The sequence below is a fragment of the Homo sapiens genome, chromosome 17 (assembly GCF_000001405.40).
Source record: "Homo sapiens chromosome 17, GRCh38.p14 Primary Assembly".
Taxonomy (NCBI): Eukaryota; Metazoa; Chordata; class Mammalia; order Primates; family Hominidae; genus Homo; species Homo sapiens.
Genome location: NC_000017.11, coordinates 3,424,343 through 3,444,161, shown reverse-complemented (window position 1 = coordinate 3,444,161; position 19,819 = coordinate 3,424,343). Strand labels below are relative to the sequence as shown.

Here is a 19,819-nt window from a genome sequence, read left to right as displayed (position 1 = left end):
ATGGTTATTAAATAAATGAATAATGCTGTCACTTCATAATAGTTTCTTGAGATAAACATGAATTACAATTTGCGTTTTATAGGTGAAGAAACAGATTTGAAAGTGGTTAAACAATTTACTCAAGGAGGAGGGAATAGGGAGATGTAGGTCAAAGGGTACAAACTTGCAATTATGTAGGATGAGTAAGTCTAGAGACTTAATGCACAGAGGAGGTCTATAGTTAATATTATTGTATTGTATATTAAAATTTTGGTAAGAGTAGATTGTAGGTGCTCTTACACACACAAAGGATAACTATGGAAGGTGTTGGGTATGTTAACTTGCTCACTGTAGAAATGATTTCACTATATATAGGTATATGAAAATATATTGTATGTATATGAAAATATGTTGTATACCTTAAATGTATATAATAAAAATAAATTTAATACCCAGTTTGCTCAAAGTCACAAAATATTAGTAAGTTGAAGTACCTGGGACCTGAATGCATGTCTCCTGATTCTAATTCAATGTTTCTTTTTTCATTAAATTATGATGCTTATTTGTTACACATGTGCATTTTATTATTATAATGTTGTAGACTGTTCTGGGGATTTAACCACTCTGTACTACACATTCTAAGGAAAAAGTTTCAGATGGCCATTTATTGTCAATTGTATGAGCTTGGCATATAATCTGTTCCTAAGTTGGAGAGAGTCAGAAGTTTTGTTTTCCTACCTATAAAACTGCCTGAGAAATATCTTCTCTTCTTAAAATGTCTTCTTTATTGCTATATAAATAGCACTATGAGAGGTTGATATGGATAGTTATTTAAACATCAGCTTCTCTTTGTTAAATTTTATTTGCAGTTTACCAACATTCATTTTTTCCCCCATTTCAATATTGCTTAGCTGTTCTTGATTCAGCTGTTACACCTGGCCCATATTATTCGAAGACTTTTCTTATGAGGGATGGGAAAAATACTCTGCCTTGTGTCTTTTATGAAATCGTGAGTATTTTTAAAGTACTCTTTGCGAAGCCTATGTCAACAGAATATAAACATGCAGGCTATAATTCAGTTGAAATATAAATTCTGTTAACAATTTAGTACTTTTAACACTGGTTTTAGTTCTGATATGAAAGTTGTTTATTTTTATAATATAGAGAGCCTACTACGTGCTAGGTACTGTGCTGGGTTTGAGGGATATAAAGTGGAATGTAAATGGCAAATGGCTCTTTCTCTCAGAGTTTGTAATCCCAGGTAGAATGGTACAGAAATGTTACACTGTGATATGGTGAATGGCTTGGTGGAGCTAGGTATGTGCAGGGTGCTAGAGAAGTAGGTAAGAAGGAAGGGGCAGATCAGGGAAAGATTTTCAAAGAAGGTGGTAACTTATCCTAGATCTTTAAGGACTAATAAGAATCAACTAAGCCAAAATGTGTTGGGGAGGGAAAGAAGGATATAGTCTAAGGTGAGGGAGCAGCATATGCAAAGACTTGAAGCTAAGAGAGAGCTTCACTTGTTCAGGGAACTGAAAGTAGTTATAATTACCAAAGTGAAGAGTTAGGAACTGTTAGGGGTAAGGGTAGTGGTTCTGAAAGTGGGGGAAAGCATAGTGGGCTGGGATATAAGGAGGCTTGGTGACATAGAAGTGTGGAGATTGCAAAGGAGGCTATAGACCTACACACATTGAGGCTGTATAAGAGCTACATAAACTTTGTAAAAGTTTGACCTTAATTCTGACATTGGCCTCAATTCTGAAATCAGACTTGGATTCCAGCATTTACTCCAACATTTTCTAGTTTTATGACTTAAGAAAGCTGCTTAAATTACTTGAACTTCAGATTTTTAAAAAATATAAAATGGGGAGACAAATTCCTACTTCGAAAGGTTGTTAAGGGGATTAAATGATGAAACATGAATATACAGTGCATGACACATAGTTGATGATCAAGAAATAATTGTCAATTCCTATAATATCTTGAATGTGTATTATTTTTATCTAGTCTGAAGTTTTTTAAAAAAACTTTGTTATTGCAGTATAACATGTACAGAAAAGTATAAAAATCATAACTGTACAGTTCTGTGAAGTATCACAAAGTGAATGCCAAACCAGGTTAAGAAACAGAACATTGTCATCACCCCCCAAATCCCTTTGTGCTTCTTCCCATTCACTACCTCTTGTCTTCTACTTACAGGTAACCACTAGCCTGACTTTTAATGTCATCAATTCATTCTGCCTGTTTTTGTACTTTATAAAAATAGTATCATACATTATGTCTTTTTAAATATGTGATTTCCTTTATTTGACAAAATGTTTGTAAGATTCATCTATGTTGTGTGTAGCTGTAGCTCACTCATTTATATTGCTATGTATAATATTGTGCTGCATGAATATGCTACAGTTTTCTATTTCACTGTTGGTGGGCATTTGGGTTTCTGGATTTTTTGCTGTTATGCATAATGTTCTATGAACATTCTTATCTATGTCTCTTATGCATTTGCATGTATTTCTGTTTGATATATACTCAGAAGTAAAATTGCTGGGTCATAGAGCATGTGTATATTCAAATACAGTAGATATTGCCAAAGAATTTTTCAAAGGATTGTGTCAATTTAAGTACTCACAGGCAATGTAGGAGAGTTATGGTTGCTCTGCATTCTTACGAACGCTTAGTATTGTCGATCTTTTTTATTATAACAATTCTGATGAGTAAATTTAGTGTTATCTCATTTCTTTACAATTCCCTAGTGAGTAATGAGGTTGAGTACCTTTTCATATGCTATTTAGATATCTTTTTTGTAAAGTCTGTTCAGGCATCTTGCTGTTTTCTTCTCTTATTTGTCTTTTTCTTACTGATTCTAGGAATTAAAAAGAAAAACTATTCTGGGAATCAGTTTTCTGTCCATTATGTGCATTGCAAATATTTTCTCATATCCATGGTTTGCTTTTTCCCACTTGATGATGGCTTTTGATAAACAGAAGTTTTTCATTTTCATATAATCCTTTTATCAATAATTAGTCTTTCCCCTTATAATTAGTGCTTTTTGTGACTATTTAATGAAAGCAACTTCAGAATGCTTTAATTTTATTCATAATTGAGAGGATTTGGAGAAGGCTAATCTTTTTCTGATTTACTTGTCTCTAAAGGCATCACACTTTTGGGTCCCAACCTTAAGCTTCAGGTCTGAGTGGGGGTGGTTACTAGAATCTCTTTTCCTTGGACGCCTAAGATTCCATTTTTTTGTTTCCCACCTATACAAGTCTGTGAAATCTCTGCTCAGTTTCTTAGACTCTCAAATGCTTTTCTGTAATTTGCAGACATCTCAGGGAGAAAGCACACCCCAAACCAGGTTTCATCTGAGACTCCCATACTATCCTAGATGGGGTGTGAGGGGGTCTCTGTAATTCCTCACTGTCTTGATATCTCTCTGATGCTTACGAGGAGATTTTTAACAAAACATTTCATCCAGCTATCCTAATTGTCATCTGATGAGCTGTTTTGAGTCACCCAGTCTGCTGCCTACTGAAAGTGGAACTCTGGGAATCTGATAAAAGAGTGGGTAATTTCATGTGTCATTACACTGGGGATTATTCAGTCTTTGATGAAGCAACAACTTGCTAGCTTGTAAGAGCCCTACCAAGTGAGGGTCTTTCCTCTGTTACAGGGTACCAATATGTGAATAACTATCATTGTCTTGTTAGCAGTGGGGCCCTGACTCACGTGAAGGAATTATAGCATTTTGAGGTGGCACATGTTTAGTTGATCACATAAATATTTAAAAAATTGAAATTCAGATGAAGTAATAACTATTTTTTGATACTTATTTTTTGAAAAACAGGATCGTGAACTTCCGAGACTGATTAGAGGCCGAGTTCATAGATGTGTTGGCAACTATGACCAGAAAAAGAACATTTTCCAATGTGTTTCTGTCAGACCGGCGTCTGTTTCTGAACAAAAAACTTTCCAGGCATTTGTCAAAATTGCAGATGTTGAGATGCAGTATTATATTAATGTGATGAATGAAACTTAAGTAGTGATAAAAGGAAGTTTAGCATAAATTATAGCAGTTTTCTGTTATTGCTTAATTTACCATCTCCATAGTTTTATAGCTACTATTGTATTTCACTTGTTGAATTAAAGTATTTGAATTCTTTTAAATGTGGAAAGAGTTTTTGAAGTATAATTTTAATGTTTTTATTAAAATGGTATATTTGCTAAAATTCCACAACCATCCTAGATAAAAATGCTCACTGTAACAGGAATAGATGATGCTTATTTAATATGGGATAATAATACATCTGAGTTAGCTCAAAAGCCAGCATTGGGCTTAAGGGGGAAATACTACAGGTATTTGCACTATCAGGAAAAAGACAAGTGTACCCACTGTCACTACTGTTATTAAGCATTGTTCTGGAACTGCTAGTCTGTGCGGTTCATTTAATTACTTCAAATATTTAATGAAAATCTGCTTTGTGCCAGGCATTGTTGCAAATGCTAGAGACAGAGCAGTTCACAAAGTAACAAAAATTAGGGGTGCCAGAAAGGTTGGTGTGCTTTGAACCAGGAGCCCATGTATCATCATGTTTCTCTCATAGCCATGATTCACAAGTCTGGAAATCAAGGAGTGGTAGTAGGGCTGACTTCCTCATTATTAGACCAACTAACATACCCACAGAACTTTTGCTCCCTACCCCCACAATTTTGGGCTCTGTTGATTAACAGATCTTACTTTCTGTCATAGCCTAGGTTACCCAAAAAGTGGAGACTGAGAAAAAGTCTTATTTGTAAGTAGTTTATTTGAGAATTTTACCTCATGTGAAGAAGTAAGGAATAGAGGGGGTGTTAAATAGGGAAGAAGAGAGACCAGTTACTAGGATGACTTATTGAGTTGGCAGCCACTAGGAGGGACTAAGGCATATATGCATAAGCTCCCAATACCTGTATTTAAGGGTTGACCAACACGGCAACAACTCCCTTGCACTTTCTGGTTGTGTATGTATGAGCATTGGGCTGGTTTTCCATGATATTCTACTCCATGGAATCAGAGGAACCATATGGCAGGACACAAGAAGCAGATGGAATAGGCCTGAGTAAAACTGTCAGACCGAATCTATGTGAAGCTGGTCAAAGGCTGCACAGAATTGGTTATTGCAACCATGGCTGGAATAAGAGAAGATGGCTGAGAGAATTTGAAGTGGTGGACAAGAAGTGTCTGATACAATTCTTAAGGAAGAAGTGTCTGATACAATTCTTAATGTTTTACCGGAAGTGCTTCCATGGTTCTAGTCTACTGAAAGTTGAGACTGCCATTTGGCAATTTTGGTTCTTTATGTTTTCAAATCAGTAGGCAAAGAAGGGGTTTACTGTACTGCCTGTGGTACTTCAATCCCAGTTAACAATGGAAAATTGTGTTTCTCTGCATAATGAGGAAAGGGAAGACCATATCTGACATGCAGGGGATTCTTCTGTATGTCACTTAGTAAAAGTTAATGGAACACTATTATAGCAACCCAAGAAAAACAATAACACTGAGGATTCAGACTCAAAAGGAATGTGGGTTGAATCTAGCTGAAGTTATGTAAAAGGGAACATGGAATGGGTGTGGAAGAAGGAGTTGTAAATGTCAGTTGTGGTCTTGTGATCAGTTGTAGGGTAAGGAAAAGCTAGTAGGAGGTAATATGACACGTGAAGAGTGGTTGAGATAATGATGGTGTCTGGTTATTAAGGTTTTCCTAGAGAGGTAAGGAGCTAGAAGTAACTCAGAGGGCTGCAAATATGGATTTACTTTTCCATATTTGCCTGAGGAAGAATTGAATGTGATCCGGGAGAGTTCATCTTTTCTCTTATTCCTGTCCTTTATATCTGTATATGGTTGGATAATGGAAGTCTGATCCTTGTTGGTTACCATTTTTCTCTCTCCTAGGGCCTATTTACAGGGAGTTGGGTTATAGTAAGAGATTCTGCCACCTGGAAATATTTCCAAAGCATATGTCTTTCCCTGGTGGTCCTCTATTCAAAGACCACTGATGGCTTGTTGTTGTCCACAGGATAAAGCCTAAACTCTTAGACTCTTAAGATGTTTTAGGACATTTACAGTCTGGTCCCTGCTTGCTTCTGTGACTTCTCCAACCATTTTTCTTCACTTCTCAAGATGTAGGCCCCAACCTCACAGGCATGCTCTCCATTCCCTAAGCAGGCAATGATTAAACACCCATCCCTGAGCTTCTCTCCATTCTCATGATCCCCCGATCCCCCAAAGTATAGTAAGGTGTGATCAACAGCTGTAATCAGTCACTGTTGCAGGACTCTAAGATAATTTGTTCTAGAGACGTCCTGTGTAATTACTTTGTTTTTAATGAGTTCCTCCAGGATCTAGGCTTCTCCGGGATGCATAGTCCGGTAGGGCCAGGGATAGGTAGAAAGAGAGATGTCAGAAGGGTGAGTACAGACACAGGTGATGACTACAAAGGCTGTTGCAACCAATAAAGGGGAGGAGGATTTTGGATCAGGGCCCTGGAGTTAACCTCAGACACAGAGTAAGTTGGGCAGGAGGGTGAATAAGCTGGTAGCTTAGCATCCCTACAACCTGAGGGTCTTGATTTCCCCAGTTGTATGATGTTCTATAGGATAGTTTTTCAGATATAACTTTCCTTTTCTCCACCTCTCTGCTTTTCAAGACTTTTCTACATTCCAGAAATATTTTGATTTAATGTTCACAACTTAATATCTTTTTATTAATGACAGTGTCCATTAATACTATGCAATGTCCTCTCTCATGATTGTATCATTTCAACATAATGACATCTCTATGAGATAGGCATTTAATACAGAGATTTCAAGCCCTCGGCCATATATTTGAATTACTTAAGGAGCTTACTTAAGGCCCCCTCCAGAGATTCTAATTACATTTATTGGGGGATGGTGCCGTAATCTGTATTTTTAAAATGTATTATATGTCCTTACTACTCAGTGTGGTCCACAGAACAGCAGAATTGGCATCACCAAATGTGAAATTTTAACTTTCGGAATGTAGAATATTAGGCCCTACACCAGACCTATTGAATCAAAATCAGCATTTAACAAGACCACCAGGTGGTTTGTATGTAAATTAAAGTTTTAGAAGCAGTGACCTTTGTGATTCTTATATTCAGTCCAGACTGAGAACTGTAGATTTACCAGGTGAAGAAGATGAGAGGCATTATTGAGGGAGCAGCTGAAATTTATATTCCCGATCAGTGGCAGCATTCACAAGTGATGTCTCTCTGGTTTGGAATTTCTAATAAGACCCTTGACACCAGAGATTGGTCCCACTCATTTCCCAGGTAGGCAAACTTCTGAGAGAACAGGCATGTGAAACTTCACTTGATGCCATTTCCCTACTACAATACTAGCAGATTATATTCAAATGTGAAAAACTGTTAACGTGGCTAGACTAAACATCACTAGCAGGGTGAAGATCCCGACAGACTCAGCTACATCCCTCTAGGGAAGGAACTTCTCATGTACCCTAACACCCTTCAGCTTTCTTAGCTCAGAGGCATTTTGAGGTATGGATATCTGGAGAGGAAGTACAGCGAGGTCTCAAGGGTGGATATCCTCGTTCCCTTTCTCCCCAAATTATAGAAACTTTCAGATACAATTCTTCATGTCAACATAACTGAACCATGTAGACATCAACACCAAAACCAAAATGACAGTGTCAACATGCATAATGGGCTGTCTTTTTAAAATAAAGAGTAGGGTGGTTGGATGGTCTAACATTTTCCATAGGTCTGAAGTTTATCTCAGAATTTTGTAATAAAGTGTCAAAACTAGCACTAAATGGTTAAGGCTAGTGAATTCTTATTCTGGGAGGATTTAATAGGAGTCGTTAAACTACAATGGGTGTTGGCTGCTTTAAAGTTGGAGGGGCCGGGCGCGGCGGCTAACGCCTGTAACCCCAGCACTTTGGGAGGCCGAGGCGGGTGGATCACCTGAGGTCAGGAGTCCAAGACCAGCCTGACCAACATAGAGAAACCCCGTCTCTACTAAAAATACAAAAATTAGCTGGGTGTGGTGGCATTTGCCTGTGAGCCCAGCTACTCATGAGGCTGAGGCAGGAGAATTGCTTGAACCTGGGAGGCGGAGGTTGCGGTGAGCTGAGATCGTGCCATTGCACTCCATGCTGAGCAACAAGAGTGAAACTCTGTCTCAAAATAAATAAAAAATAAAGTTGGAGGAGTGTATGTCTCAGCCTGAAGGACAGCCAACAAATACTAATGAAACATTGGCCATATCCAGGCACCATCCCAGTTGCTGGCCTTGGTGCAGTCACGAAGGCAGTCATGGCCTTATCTGTATGGAGTTTACAATTTGGTAGGAAACTCAGCTATAAACAAGCAATCAAGGTCATTGAATGCTGCTGGATGAGTACAAGATGCTGTGGAAACTTAGAAGCAGGTCTCACCTGGTCTGAGTGATTGAGCTGAGCCAGTGACATGTAGTAAACCTGCAGGAGAAGCAGGGGTATGCCAAGTAAGAGAAGGCAGAGGGGCCGGGCGTGGTGGCTTACGCCTGTAATCCCAGCACTTTGGGAGGCTGAGGCAGGCGGATCATGAGGTTAGGAGATCGAGACCATCCTGGCTAACATGGTGAAACCCCATCTCTACTAAAAATACAAAAAAATTAGCCTGGTGTAGTGGCGGGTGCCTGGAGTCCCAGCTACTCGGGAGGCTGAGGCAGGAGAATGGCGTGAAGCTGGGAGACAGAGCTTGCAGTGAGCCAAGATCGTGCCACTGCACTCCAGCCTGGATGGCTGAGCGAGACTGTCTCAAAAAAAAAAAAAAAAAAAAAAAAAAAAAAAAAAAAAAGCAGAGGTAAGATGTTACACAGAAGGAACAGCAAGTGTGAACGTCTGGAGGCAAGAAATTATGACTTCTAAGTCTAGCATTGCTGGAGAATGCTGGAGAATGCTGATGCAAGAGTCATTGTGGGACCAGATGAGGCTGTGGAGGTAGGCATGGGTCAGATAATGAAATATGATTTGTGTCCTTGAAAGGAATTTTGTGTATATGTTAAGAATAATGAGAATCCATAAGGACTCTGAGCAGGAGAATGATGATCAGATTTTTATCTTAGAATGCCACAGTGTGTGGCCGGGCACGGTGGCTCAGGCCTGTAATCCCAGCACTTTGGGAGGCTGAGGCGGGCAGATCACGACGTCAGGAGATCAAGAACATCCTGGCTAACACGGTGAAACCCCGTCTCTACTAAAAATACAAAAAATTAGCCGGGCGCGATGGCGGGTGCCTGTAGTCCCAGCTACTCGGGAGGCTGAGGCAGGAGAATGGCGTGAACCCAGCAGGAGGAGCTTGCAGTGAGCTGAGATTGCGCCACTGCACTCCAGCCTGGGTGACAGAGCGAGACTCCATCTCAAAAAAAAAAAAAAAAAAAAAAAAAGAACGCCACAGTGTGAATGGATTGAAGGCTAGTGAGCATAGCAGCAGGGAGATGAAGTAAGAGACTATTCCAATAGTCCAGACAAGAAAAGATGTCAGCCTGTTCCAGATTGTGGCAACTGGGATAAGCAGTGGGTGAATTAGAAATAGAATGAAGTACAGAATCTATATAACTTGCTAGGATTAGATGTTGATCTTGAGAGAAATAAATAAATGAAAGAAAACTCCCAGGTTTCTGACTTGAGCCTGGATTCCTTTTACTGAGATATGAGAGACTGGAGGAGCAAATTGGAAGAGTGGCAGGGTGAGATAACGAGTTTCATCTGGGATCTGTTAAGCTGAGGATGGTCATGATCCATAGGGAGATAATCAGGAAGCAACTGCTAATGCAGTACTAATGATGATAGGTTTACCCAGGAAGTTCAGATGGTAATCAGTGTCACGGGGACAGGTGAACTCTTTCAGGGCTTGATCTGTAGAATTAGAACAGAATTTAGGAAAAATTCCCAGAAAACAGCAACGTATAAGATACTGTTAGAGAAGAAACCATTTACAGTTGTTAAGAAGGAATGGCCAATATGTGTCAGGAAACCAGTGTGATTGCACGGAAGCTAATAGATAAGAGTGTTTTAGAAAGAAAGGAGGAGTCAATCTTGCTACATGTTATGCAAAGTGAGATGGATCAGTGTGAAAAGTAGCGTGGATTTTGTGATGTGGCACATTTCTGATTATAGAAATAATTATAGAAATCTCTGAATATAGAGATTGTTGTTAGGGAAAATGAGGGTGAAATCAGTGATTGAACACCTGTTGACCATGTATCATAGGAATATATTTATTTTTATTCACGGTTTTGAGGGACCCTATTATATTCTCTTAAAGATACTGGAGACAGAGCATGATGGGACAAAATCAAACCAGCATCTCAGACTTCCTGCTCCTGGGCCTGCCCATCCAACCAGAGCAGCAAAACCTGTGCTATGCCCTGTTCTTGGCCATGTATCTTACCACCCTCCTGGGGAACCTCCTCATCATTGTCCTCATTCGACTGGACTCCCATCTCCACACGCCTGTGTATTTGTTTCTCAGCAACTTGTCCTTCTCTGACCTCTGCTTTTCCTCAGTCACAATGCCCAAATTGCTGCAGAACATGCAGAACCAAGACCCATCCATCCCCTATGCAGACTGCCTGACCCAAATGTACTTCTTCTTGTATTTTTCGGATCTAGAGAGCTTCCTCCTTGTGGCCATGGCCTATGACCGCTATGTGGCCATCTGCTTCCCCATGCACTACACCGCCATCTGCTTCCTCCTGCACTACACCGCCATCATGAGCCCCATGCTCTGTCTCTCCGTGGTGGCGCTGTCCTGGGTGCTGACCACCTTCCATGCCATGTTACACACTTTACTCATGGCCAGGTTGTGTTTTTGTGCAGACAATGTGATCCCCCACTTTTTCTGTGATATGTCTGCTCTGCTGAAGCTGGCCTGCTCTGACACTCGAGTTAATGAATGGGTGATATTTATCATGGGAGGGCTCATTCTTGTCATCCCATTCCTACTCATCCTTGGGTCCTATGCAAGAATTGTCTCCTCCATCCTCAAGGTCCCTTCTTCTAAGGGTATCTGCAAGGCCTTCTCTACTTGTGGCTCCCACCTCTCTGTGGTGTCACTGTTCTATGGGACCGTTATTGGTCTCTACTTATGCCCATCAGCTAATAGTTCTACTCTAAAGGACACTGTCATGGCTATGATGTACACTGTGGTGACCCCTATGCTGACCCCCTTCATCTACAGCCTGAGGAACAGAGACATGAAGGGAGCCCTGGAAAGGGTCATTTGTAAAAGGAAAAATCCCTTCCTTCTATGACAGTAATACTTGGGAGTCTTATATAATTTTATCTAATAGATACATGGACATTAATATTTCAATATTATTTCAGATCTCTTTTTTTCTGCACATGAAACTTTTTGTTTAAATGTAATATTACATAATTTCTGAGTAAGTAAAACAGATGTGGGGGGGATATGTAGTTGAAGTAAGGTGTTCTCAGTAACCTGCTAGGAAGATTTTCCTTTTTGCTAATCCCAGGTGAAGAAAATCTTTAAATTAAAGATTTAAAATATTTAAATTAAAATTTCCGTCTTCATTGTTAAACCACCAGTTTATCATGTGTACTTGAAAAAACCCTGTAGGTCTGCTTTAAATGATATTCTGTCCTCTCATGTCAATAATAAGACCCAGACATCTCAGTCCCCTTCTTTGCTAAACAAAACTACAAATTTTGAATAAATTTTTTTTACTCATTTTCCTGAGCAAGTGTTCACATCAGCCTGTCTCCTAACTTTGTTTTCTTTCTTTTTTAAATTTTATTATTATTATACTTTAAGTTTTAGGGTACATGTGCACAATGTGCAGGTTAGTTACATATGTATACATGTGCCATGCTGGTGTGCTGCACCCATTAACTCGTCATTTAGCATTAGGTATATCTCCTAAAGCTATCCCTCCCCCCTCCCCCCACCCCACAACAGTCCCCAGAGTGTGATGTTCCCCTTCCTGTGTCCATGTGTTCTCATTGTTCAATTCCCACCTATGAGTGAGAATATGCGGTGTTTGGTTTTTTGTCCTTGCGATAGTTTACTGAGAATGATGATTTCCAGTTTCATCCATGTCCCTACAAGGGACATGAACTCATCATTTTTTACAGCTGCAAAGTATTCCATGGTGTATATGTGCCACATTTTCTTAATCCAGTCAATCATTGTTGGACATTTGGGTTGGTTCCAAGTCTTTGCTATCATGAATAGTGCTGCAATAAACATACATGTGCATGTGTCTTTACAGCAGCATGATTTATAGTCCTTTGGGTATATACCCAGTAATGGGATGGCTGGGTCAAGTGGTATTTCTAGTTCTAGATCCCTGAGGAATCGCCACACTGACTTCCACAATGGTTGAACTTTTCTTAATTTTTATGTCTGCATGTCTTTTTACCTGACCCAAACCTAAAATGAACTTTCTATTTGCTTACATACCATACTTTAGTTTATCTATATCTAAGAACTAAGTCATACCTAAGGCCCTAAAAGGACTTCTCAAGCATGGGGAAGGGAACCAAAGTCTGCTTAAGAACCTCACTCATTTGTTCACTCATTCATTTATATTAGTTATTTTGAAATTGTTTTAAAAATTGACACATAATGTACATATTTATTGGGTACAGTGTGATATTTTGATACATATATACAATGTACAATGATCAAATCAGGAAAATCAGCATTTCTATCACCTCAAAATTTATCATTTCTTAGTATTGAGAACATTCAAAATTCTCTCTTCTAGTTATTTGAAAAATGCAATAAATTGTTTACCAGAGTCATCCTACAGCGCTATAGAACACTAGAACTTATTCCTCCTATCCTATAATTTTTTATCTATTAACTAACCTCTATAACCCCACTTCTTCCCCTTCTCAGCCTCTAGCAGCCAATATTCTACTCTATACTTCTATACTGCCAACTTTTTAAGCTTCCACACACGAATGAGAATATGTGGTATTTATTTTTCTGTGCCTGACTTATTTATCAAAATATCCTTCAGGCTCATCCATGTTGCCATGAATGACAAGATTTTATACTTTTTACTGACTGAGTAGTATTCCATTGTGTATATATACACCATATTTTCATTATTCATCTGTTGATTGGCCACTTAGGTTGATTCCATATCTTGGCTAACATAAATAGTGCTAGGAGTGAAAATGTCTCTTGGACATACCTATTTTCTTTCTTTTGCATACACACCTAGTAATGGGATTGCTAGATCAATTGGTAGTTCTATTTTTAGCTTTTATGAGAACTTCCATACCATGTTCCATAATAGCTGTACTAATTTACATTCCCACCAACAACAATATATAAGAATTATCCTTCTCCATATCTTTGCCAGCATTTGTTATTTTTAGTTTTCTTGATAATACTCACATTAATTGGGGTGAGATGAGGTCTCATTTTGGTTTTGATTTGAATTTCCCTGATAATTAGTGATATTGGGCATTTTTTCACACACGTTGTTCATTTGTATGTCTTTTTTTGAGAAATGTTTATTCAGATCCTTTGCCCATTTTTTAACTTAGATTATTATTATTATTATTTGCTGTTGAGTTGAATTCCTTGTACATTTTGGATATTAAAACCTTACCAAATGAATAGCTTGCAAAGATTTTCTCCCATTCTACAGGTTTTCTGTTCATCCTGTTGATGGTTTTCTTGCTGTGCAGAAGCTTTTTAGTTTGATATAATCCAAGTTGTCTATTTTTTCTTTTGTTGGCTGTGCTTTTGAGGTATTATCCATAAAATATTTGCCCAGAGTAAGTTGCTGAAACATTTTCCCTATGTTGTCTTCTAGTAGTTGCATAGTGTTGGGTATTACATTTAAGTCTTTAATCAATTTTGAGTTAATATTTGTATATGGTGAGAGGTAGGGGCCTAGTTTTATTCTTCTGCATGTAGATATTCAGTTTTCACAGCACAATTTATTGAAGAGACTGACTTTCCCAGTGTATGTTCTTGGTGTTTTTGTTGAAAATTGGTTGGCTGTAAATACATGGATTTATTTCTGGATTCTCTATTGTGTTCCATTGGTCTGTCTGTTATTATACCTGTACCGTGCTGTTTTGATTACTATAGTTGTGTAGTGTAGTTTGAAGTCACGTAGTGTGATACAGTGAGTTTTTTTCTTTTTGCTCAGGATTGGTTTGGCTATTTGGGGTGTTTCGTGGTTCCATATAAATTTCAGGATTTTTTTTTTCTATTTCATGAAAGAATATCATTTCTATTTGATAGGAATTACATGGAATTGGTAGATTGCTTTGGGTAGTATGGTCATTTTAACAATATTATTTCTTCCAATCCATGAACATGGAATGTTTTTCCTTTTTTTTTTTTATCCTCTTCATTTTCTTTCATATAATTTTCCTTATAGAGATTGGTTAGATTTTTTTCCTAGGTAGTGGGATTGCTTTCTTGATTTATTTTCAGCTACTTTGTTTTTGGTGTATAGGAATGCTACTAATTTTTGTATGTTGATTTTGTATTCTGCAACTTTACTGAATTTGCTTAATTTAATTTAAATCTAAGACATTTTGGTGGGATTCTTAGGCTTTTCTATAGATAGGACTATTTATCTGCAAAGGACAATTTGACTTCCTTCTTTTTGGTTTAGATGCTGTCTATTTTTTCTCTTGTCTAACTGCTCTTGATAGGATTTCCAGTAGCATATTTAATAAGATTAGCAAGAGTACACATCCTTGTCTTATTCCAGTTCTTAGAGAAAAAGCTTTCAGCTTTTCTCCGTTCAACATGATATTAGCTGTGGGTTTGCCATATTTGGTCTTTATTGTGTTTAGGTACATTTCTTCTATACCTAATTTATTGAGAATTTTTTTCATAAAGTGATGTTGAATTTTATCAAATGCTTTTTCTGTGTCTATTGAGATGATCATATGGGTTTTGTCCTTCATTCTGTTAATGTGATGTATCTCATATGTTGATTTCCATATGTTGAGCCATCTTTGCATTCTTGAGATAAATCCACTTGAATCCACTTGAACATAGTGCATAATCTTTTTGATGTGCTGTTGGATTTTGTTTGCTAGTATTTTGTGAAGAATTTTTGCATCTATGTTCATCAGGGATATTGGCCTTTAGTTTTCTATTTTTGTTTTTTCGTCTTGTTTTAGTATCAGGGTAATGCTATCCTTATAGAATGTGTTTGGAAGAGTTTCCTCCTCTTCTGTTTTTTGAAACAGCTTGAAAAGAAATTGTATTAAGGGTTTTTTTTCTCTAAAGTTTTGAACAATTCAGCAGTGAAACCATTTGATCCTGGACTTTTTTGTTGTTGTTGTTGTTGGCAGATGTTTACTTACAGATTCAATCTTATTACTCATTATTGGTCTGTTCAGGTTTGTTTTTTCTTCTTGGTTCAATCTTTATAGGCAGTTTATCTTCAGGAATTTATCTGTTTCCTCTAGGTTTTCTAATTTGTTGGTATATGGTTGTTCATAATATTTTCTAATGATCCTTTGTGTTTCTGTGGTATCACTTATAATGTCTCCTTTTTCATTTCTGATTTTATTTATTTGGGTTTTCTCTCTTCTTAATTAGTTTAGCTAATGGTTTGCCAATTTTGTTAAACTTTTCAGGAAAATCAACTTTTCATTTTATTAATATTTCACATTTTTAGTCTCAATTTTATTTCTTTCTGCTTTGATCTTTATTATTATTTCTTTCCTTCTACTACTTTCAGGTTTGATTTGTTCTCACTTTTCTAGTTCCTTGAGGTATATTGCTAGGTTGTTTATTGGAAATATTTCTTATGTAGGAGTTTGTTACCATAAATTTCCCTCTTAATATTGCTTTTGCTGTATTCTATAGGTTTTGGAATTTTGTGTTTCTATTTTTATTTTATTTTAAGTTACAGGGCAAATGTGCAGGATGTACAGGTTTGTTACACAGGTAAATGTGTGCCATGGTGATTTGCTGCACCTATCAACCCATCACCTAGGTATTAAGCCCAGCAAGCATTAGCTATTTTTCCTAATGCTCTCCCTCCTACTGCCCCCCCACCCCAACAAGCCCCAGTATGTTGTATCCCTCTCTGTGTCTATGTGTTCACATTGTTCAGCTCTCACTTATAAGTGAGAACATATGGTGTTTTGTTTTCTATTCCTGCATTAGTTTGCTGAGGATAATGGCTTCTGGCCTCATCCATGTCCCTGCAAAGGACATGATCACCAGTGGCTCACGCCTGTAATTTCAGCTTTGGGAGGCCAAGGCGGGCAGATCACCTGAGGTCAGGAGTTCGAGACCAGCCTGGCCAACATGTTGAAACCCCATCTCTACAAAACTACAAAACTTAGCCAGGCATGATGGCGGGTGCCTGTAATCCCAGCTACTATGGAGGCTGAGGCAGGAGAATAACTTGAACCCAGGAGGTGGAGGTTGCAGTGAGCTTAGATCGTGCCATTGCACTCCAGCCTGGGTGACAGAGTGAGACACTGTCTCAAAAAAAAGACCATAAATTAAATAAAGATCTCATTCCTTTTTATGGCTGCATAGTATTCCATGGTGTATATGTACCATATTTTTTTTAATCCAGTGTATTATTGATGGGCTTTTGGGTTGATTCCATGTCTTTGCTATTGTGAATAGTGTTGCAGTGGACATATATGTGCATGTACCTTTATAACAGAATGATTTATATTATTTTGGGTATATACCCAGTAGTGAGATTACTGGGGCAAATGGTATTTCTGGTTCTAGGTCTTTGAGGAATTGCTACACTGTCTTCTACAATGATTGAACTAATTACATTCCCACCAACAGTGTAAAAGTGTTCCTATTTCTCTGCAGCTTCACCAGCATCATTGTTTCTTGACTTTTTAATAATTGCCATTGTGACTGGCATGAGATGTTATCTTATTGTGGTTTTGATTTGCATTTCTCTAATGATCAGTGATGTTGAGTTTTTTCGTATGTTTGCTGACTGCATGTATGGAGATTGAGGAGAATAACCCTGCACTGCCCAAGGCAACAGCAATGGCCTTCTCTGAGGCAGTGGCTATGCAATGTTTATTCTCCTCAGGGCCCACCCCCAACACCCCTGTTTGCTTCTAGACCTATAACTAGACTAAAGTCCCAGCAGGCCCCTAGATGTGAGGTTCAGAGTGTGACCCATGAAGAAGTGTGCTACAATCCAAAAGAACTGCTTGAGTTTTCTAATTTAAATGAGCAGAAATCTAAAGAACAGGCACGGGAATGGATATTAAGGGTGTGGGATAATGGTGGAAGGAACATAAAGTTGTATCTGGCTGAATTTATTGCTTTGGGCCCACTAAGCAGGGATTCTGCATTTAATGTTGCTGCTTGGGAAGTTAAAAAAGATTCTACTAGCTTATTTGCTTGGTTAGCTGAAATATGGATTAAAAGATGGCCCACTGTGAGCGAGCTGGAAATGCCTGATCTTCTTTGGTTTAATGTAGAGGAAGGAATCCAAAGGCTTAGGGAGATAGGGATGCTGGAGTGGATTAGTCACTTTAGACCTACTCATCCCAGCTGGGAGGGCCCAGAAGATATACCCTTGATTAATACTTTGTGAAATAGATTTGTGAGGGCAGCACCTGCATCCTCAAAGAGCTCTATGATTGCTCCTCTCTGTATGTCAGATCTTACAGTGGGAACTGCAGTCACTCAACTATAAAATTTAAATGCAGTGGGAATAATTGGATCCCGAGGTGGCAGGGGCCAAGTGGCAGCACTCAACCATTAAAGACAAGTTGGCTGTAGCCACCATAATGGACAGCAGAGGCAAAACAGCAATCAGAATAGTCTGACTTGTGTAGAGCTCTGGCATTGGCTAATTAATCATGGTGTTCCTAGAAGTGAAACTGACAGGAAGCCTACTGCATTCTTACTTGATTTATATAAGCAAAAAACTTCCAGGTCCAGTGGACAAAATACTAATTTGATATATAAAAACAGAGAATCATGGCCCCTCAATCAGTTTCCAGACTTGAACCAGTTTACAGACCCAGAACCCTTTGAATGAAGGGGAGGTGGGGTCCCCTTGGGGAAGGACCTCACTACACTACTGACAATTCATGCTGTTAATCTTTCTCCCATTCTTCCCTAAGGAGACCTCTAGCCTTTTACCAGGGTAACTGTGCATTGGGGAAAGGGGAATAATCAGATCTTTCAGGGACTACTAGACACTGGTTCTGAGCTGACATTGATTCCAGGGGATCCGAAACGTCACTGTGGTCCTCCAGTTAAAGTAGGGGCTTATGGAGGTCAGGTAATTAATGGAGTTTTAGCTCAGGTCCAACTTACAGTGAGTCCCTGTACTCATCCCGTGGTCATTTCCCCAGTGCCAGAATGCATAATTGGCATAGACATACGTAGCAGTGTCAGGACCCTCACATTGACTCCTTGACTGGTAGGGTGAGGGCTATTATGGTGGGAAAGGCCAAATGGAAGCCATTAGAGCTGCCTCTACCTAGAAAAATAGTAAATAGAAAACAATATCGCATCCCTGAAGGGATTGCAGAGATTAGTGCAACTATCAAGGATTTGAAGATACAGTGAGATACTCTCACTCCAGTCAGAATGGCTATCATTAAAAAGTCAAAAAATAACAGATGTTGGCGATGTTGTGGAGTAAAAGGAATGCTTATACACTGTTGATGGGAGCATAAATTAGTTCCACCATTGTGGAAGACAGTGTGCCAATTCCTTAAAGACCTAAAAACAGAAATATCACTCAACTCGGCAGTTCCATTACAGGGTATATACTCAATGTAATATAAATAGTTCTATCATAAAGACACATGCACGCTTATGTTCACTGCAACACTATTCACAAAAGCAAAGACATGGTATCAGCCTAAATGCTCATCAATGGTAAAATGGATAAAGAAAATATGTTACATGTACACCACGAAATACTATGCAGCCATAAAAAAGAATGAGATCATGTCCTTTGCAGGAACATGGATGGAGCTTGGAGGCCGTTATCCTTAGCAAACTAACTCGGAACAGAAAACCAAATACTGCATGTTCTCACTTATAAGTGGGAGCTAAGTGATGAGAACACATGGACACATAGAGGGGAACAACGCTCACTGGGGCCTATCAGAGAGTGAAGGTTGGGAGGAGGGGGAGGATCAGGAAAAATAACTAATGGGTACTAGGTTTAATATGTGAGTGGCAAAATAATCTGTACAACAAACTCTCATGACACAAGTTTACCTATATAACTTATATTACCTATATATACCTATATAGGTATATATAACCTATATTACCCATATATAACAAACCTGCACATGTACTCCTGAACTTAAAAGTTAAAAAAAGAATGCCCTGTAAGGTAAAGGAAATACCAAATATAGAACATGTTGATTATCATTTGTTAATCAGCTCTGATCAGCAATTACTGAGATATTTGGTTGATACAAAGTTTTATCCCTCAATTTGTTGGTAAAATAGGGATGATAGCTCAAACAGTGACTTTAAGGATTAAATGAATTCTCTTATGTAATGTGGATAGAGCATTTACTAGCACCTGGTAAGTACTCAATACATGGCACCTACTTAAATAAATAAATAAAACTAAAATTAATGAAAAAAGAAATTAAAAATTCAAATTAAAATACTGCAATTTCTCAACCTTCAGGTTATAAAAATCGAGAAAAAAATTTTTTAATAACAACCATTGATGGGAGGGATGTGGGTAAACAAACACTATCACAACAGCAAATCTGTAAATTGGCCCAAAAGTTTTAGAAATTAAGATGTGTATGTGTTTGTGCATGTGTATCTTAAAATTTATATTT

At 38.3% G+C, this 19,819-nt stretch overlaps 2 protein-coding genes across 9 annotated transcripts in view; both read left to right on the top strand.

Annotated features, from left to right (window-relative positions):
• The window catches only part of SPATA22 (spermatogenesis associated 22), a 73,840-nt gene extending 69,697 nt beyond the window's left edge, over window positions 1-4,143 (top strand). For 7 of the 8 annotated variants that reach the window (NM_001321336.2, NM_001321337.2, NM_001170696.2 and 4 more), the window contains 2 exons: window positions 891-988; window positions 3,824-4,143. In NM_001321336.2, the coding sequence (NP_001308265.1) occupies window positions 891-988; window positions 3,824-4,015 (290 nt within the window). In that variant the 3' untranslated portion in view covers window positions 4,016-4,143. The remainder of the gene's footprint in view (window positions 1-890; window positions 989-3,823) is intronic. The other variant, NM_001170699.2, reaches the window with a different exon arrangement.
• Window positions 4,144-10,320: 6,177 nt separating this feature from the next.
• Window positions 10,321-11,292, top strand: OR1E2 (olfactory receptor family 1 subfamily E member 2). Its single transcript, NM_003554.2, has one exon. It carries the CDS (start codon window positions 10,321-10,323, stop codon window positions 11,290-11,292), a length of 972 nt encoding a protein of 323 aa, NP_003545.1.
• Window positions 11,293-19,819: the final 8,527 nt, after the last annotated feature.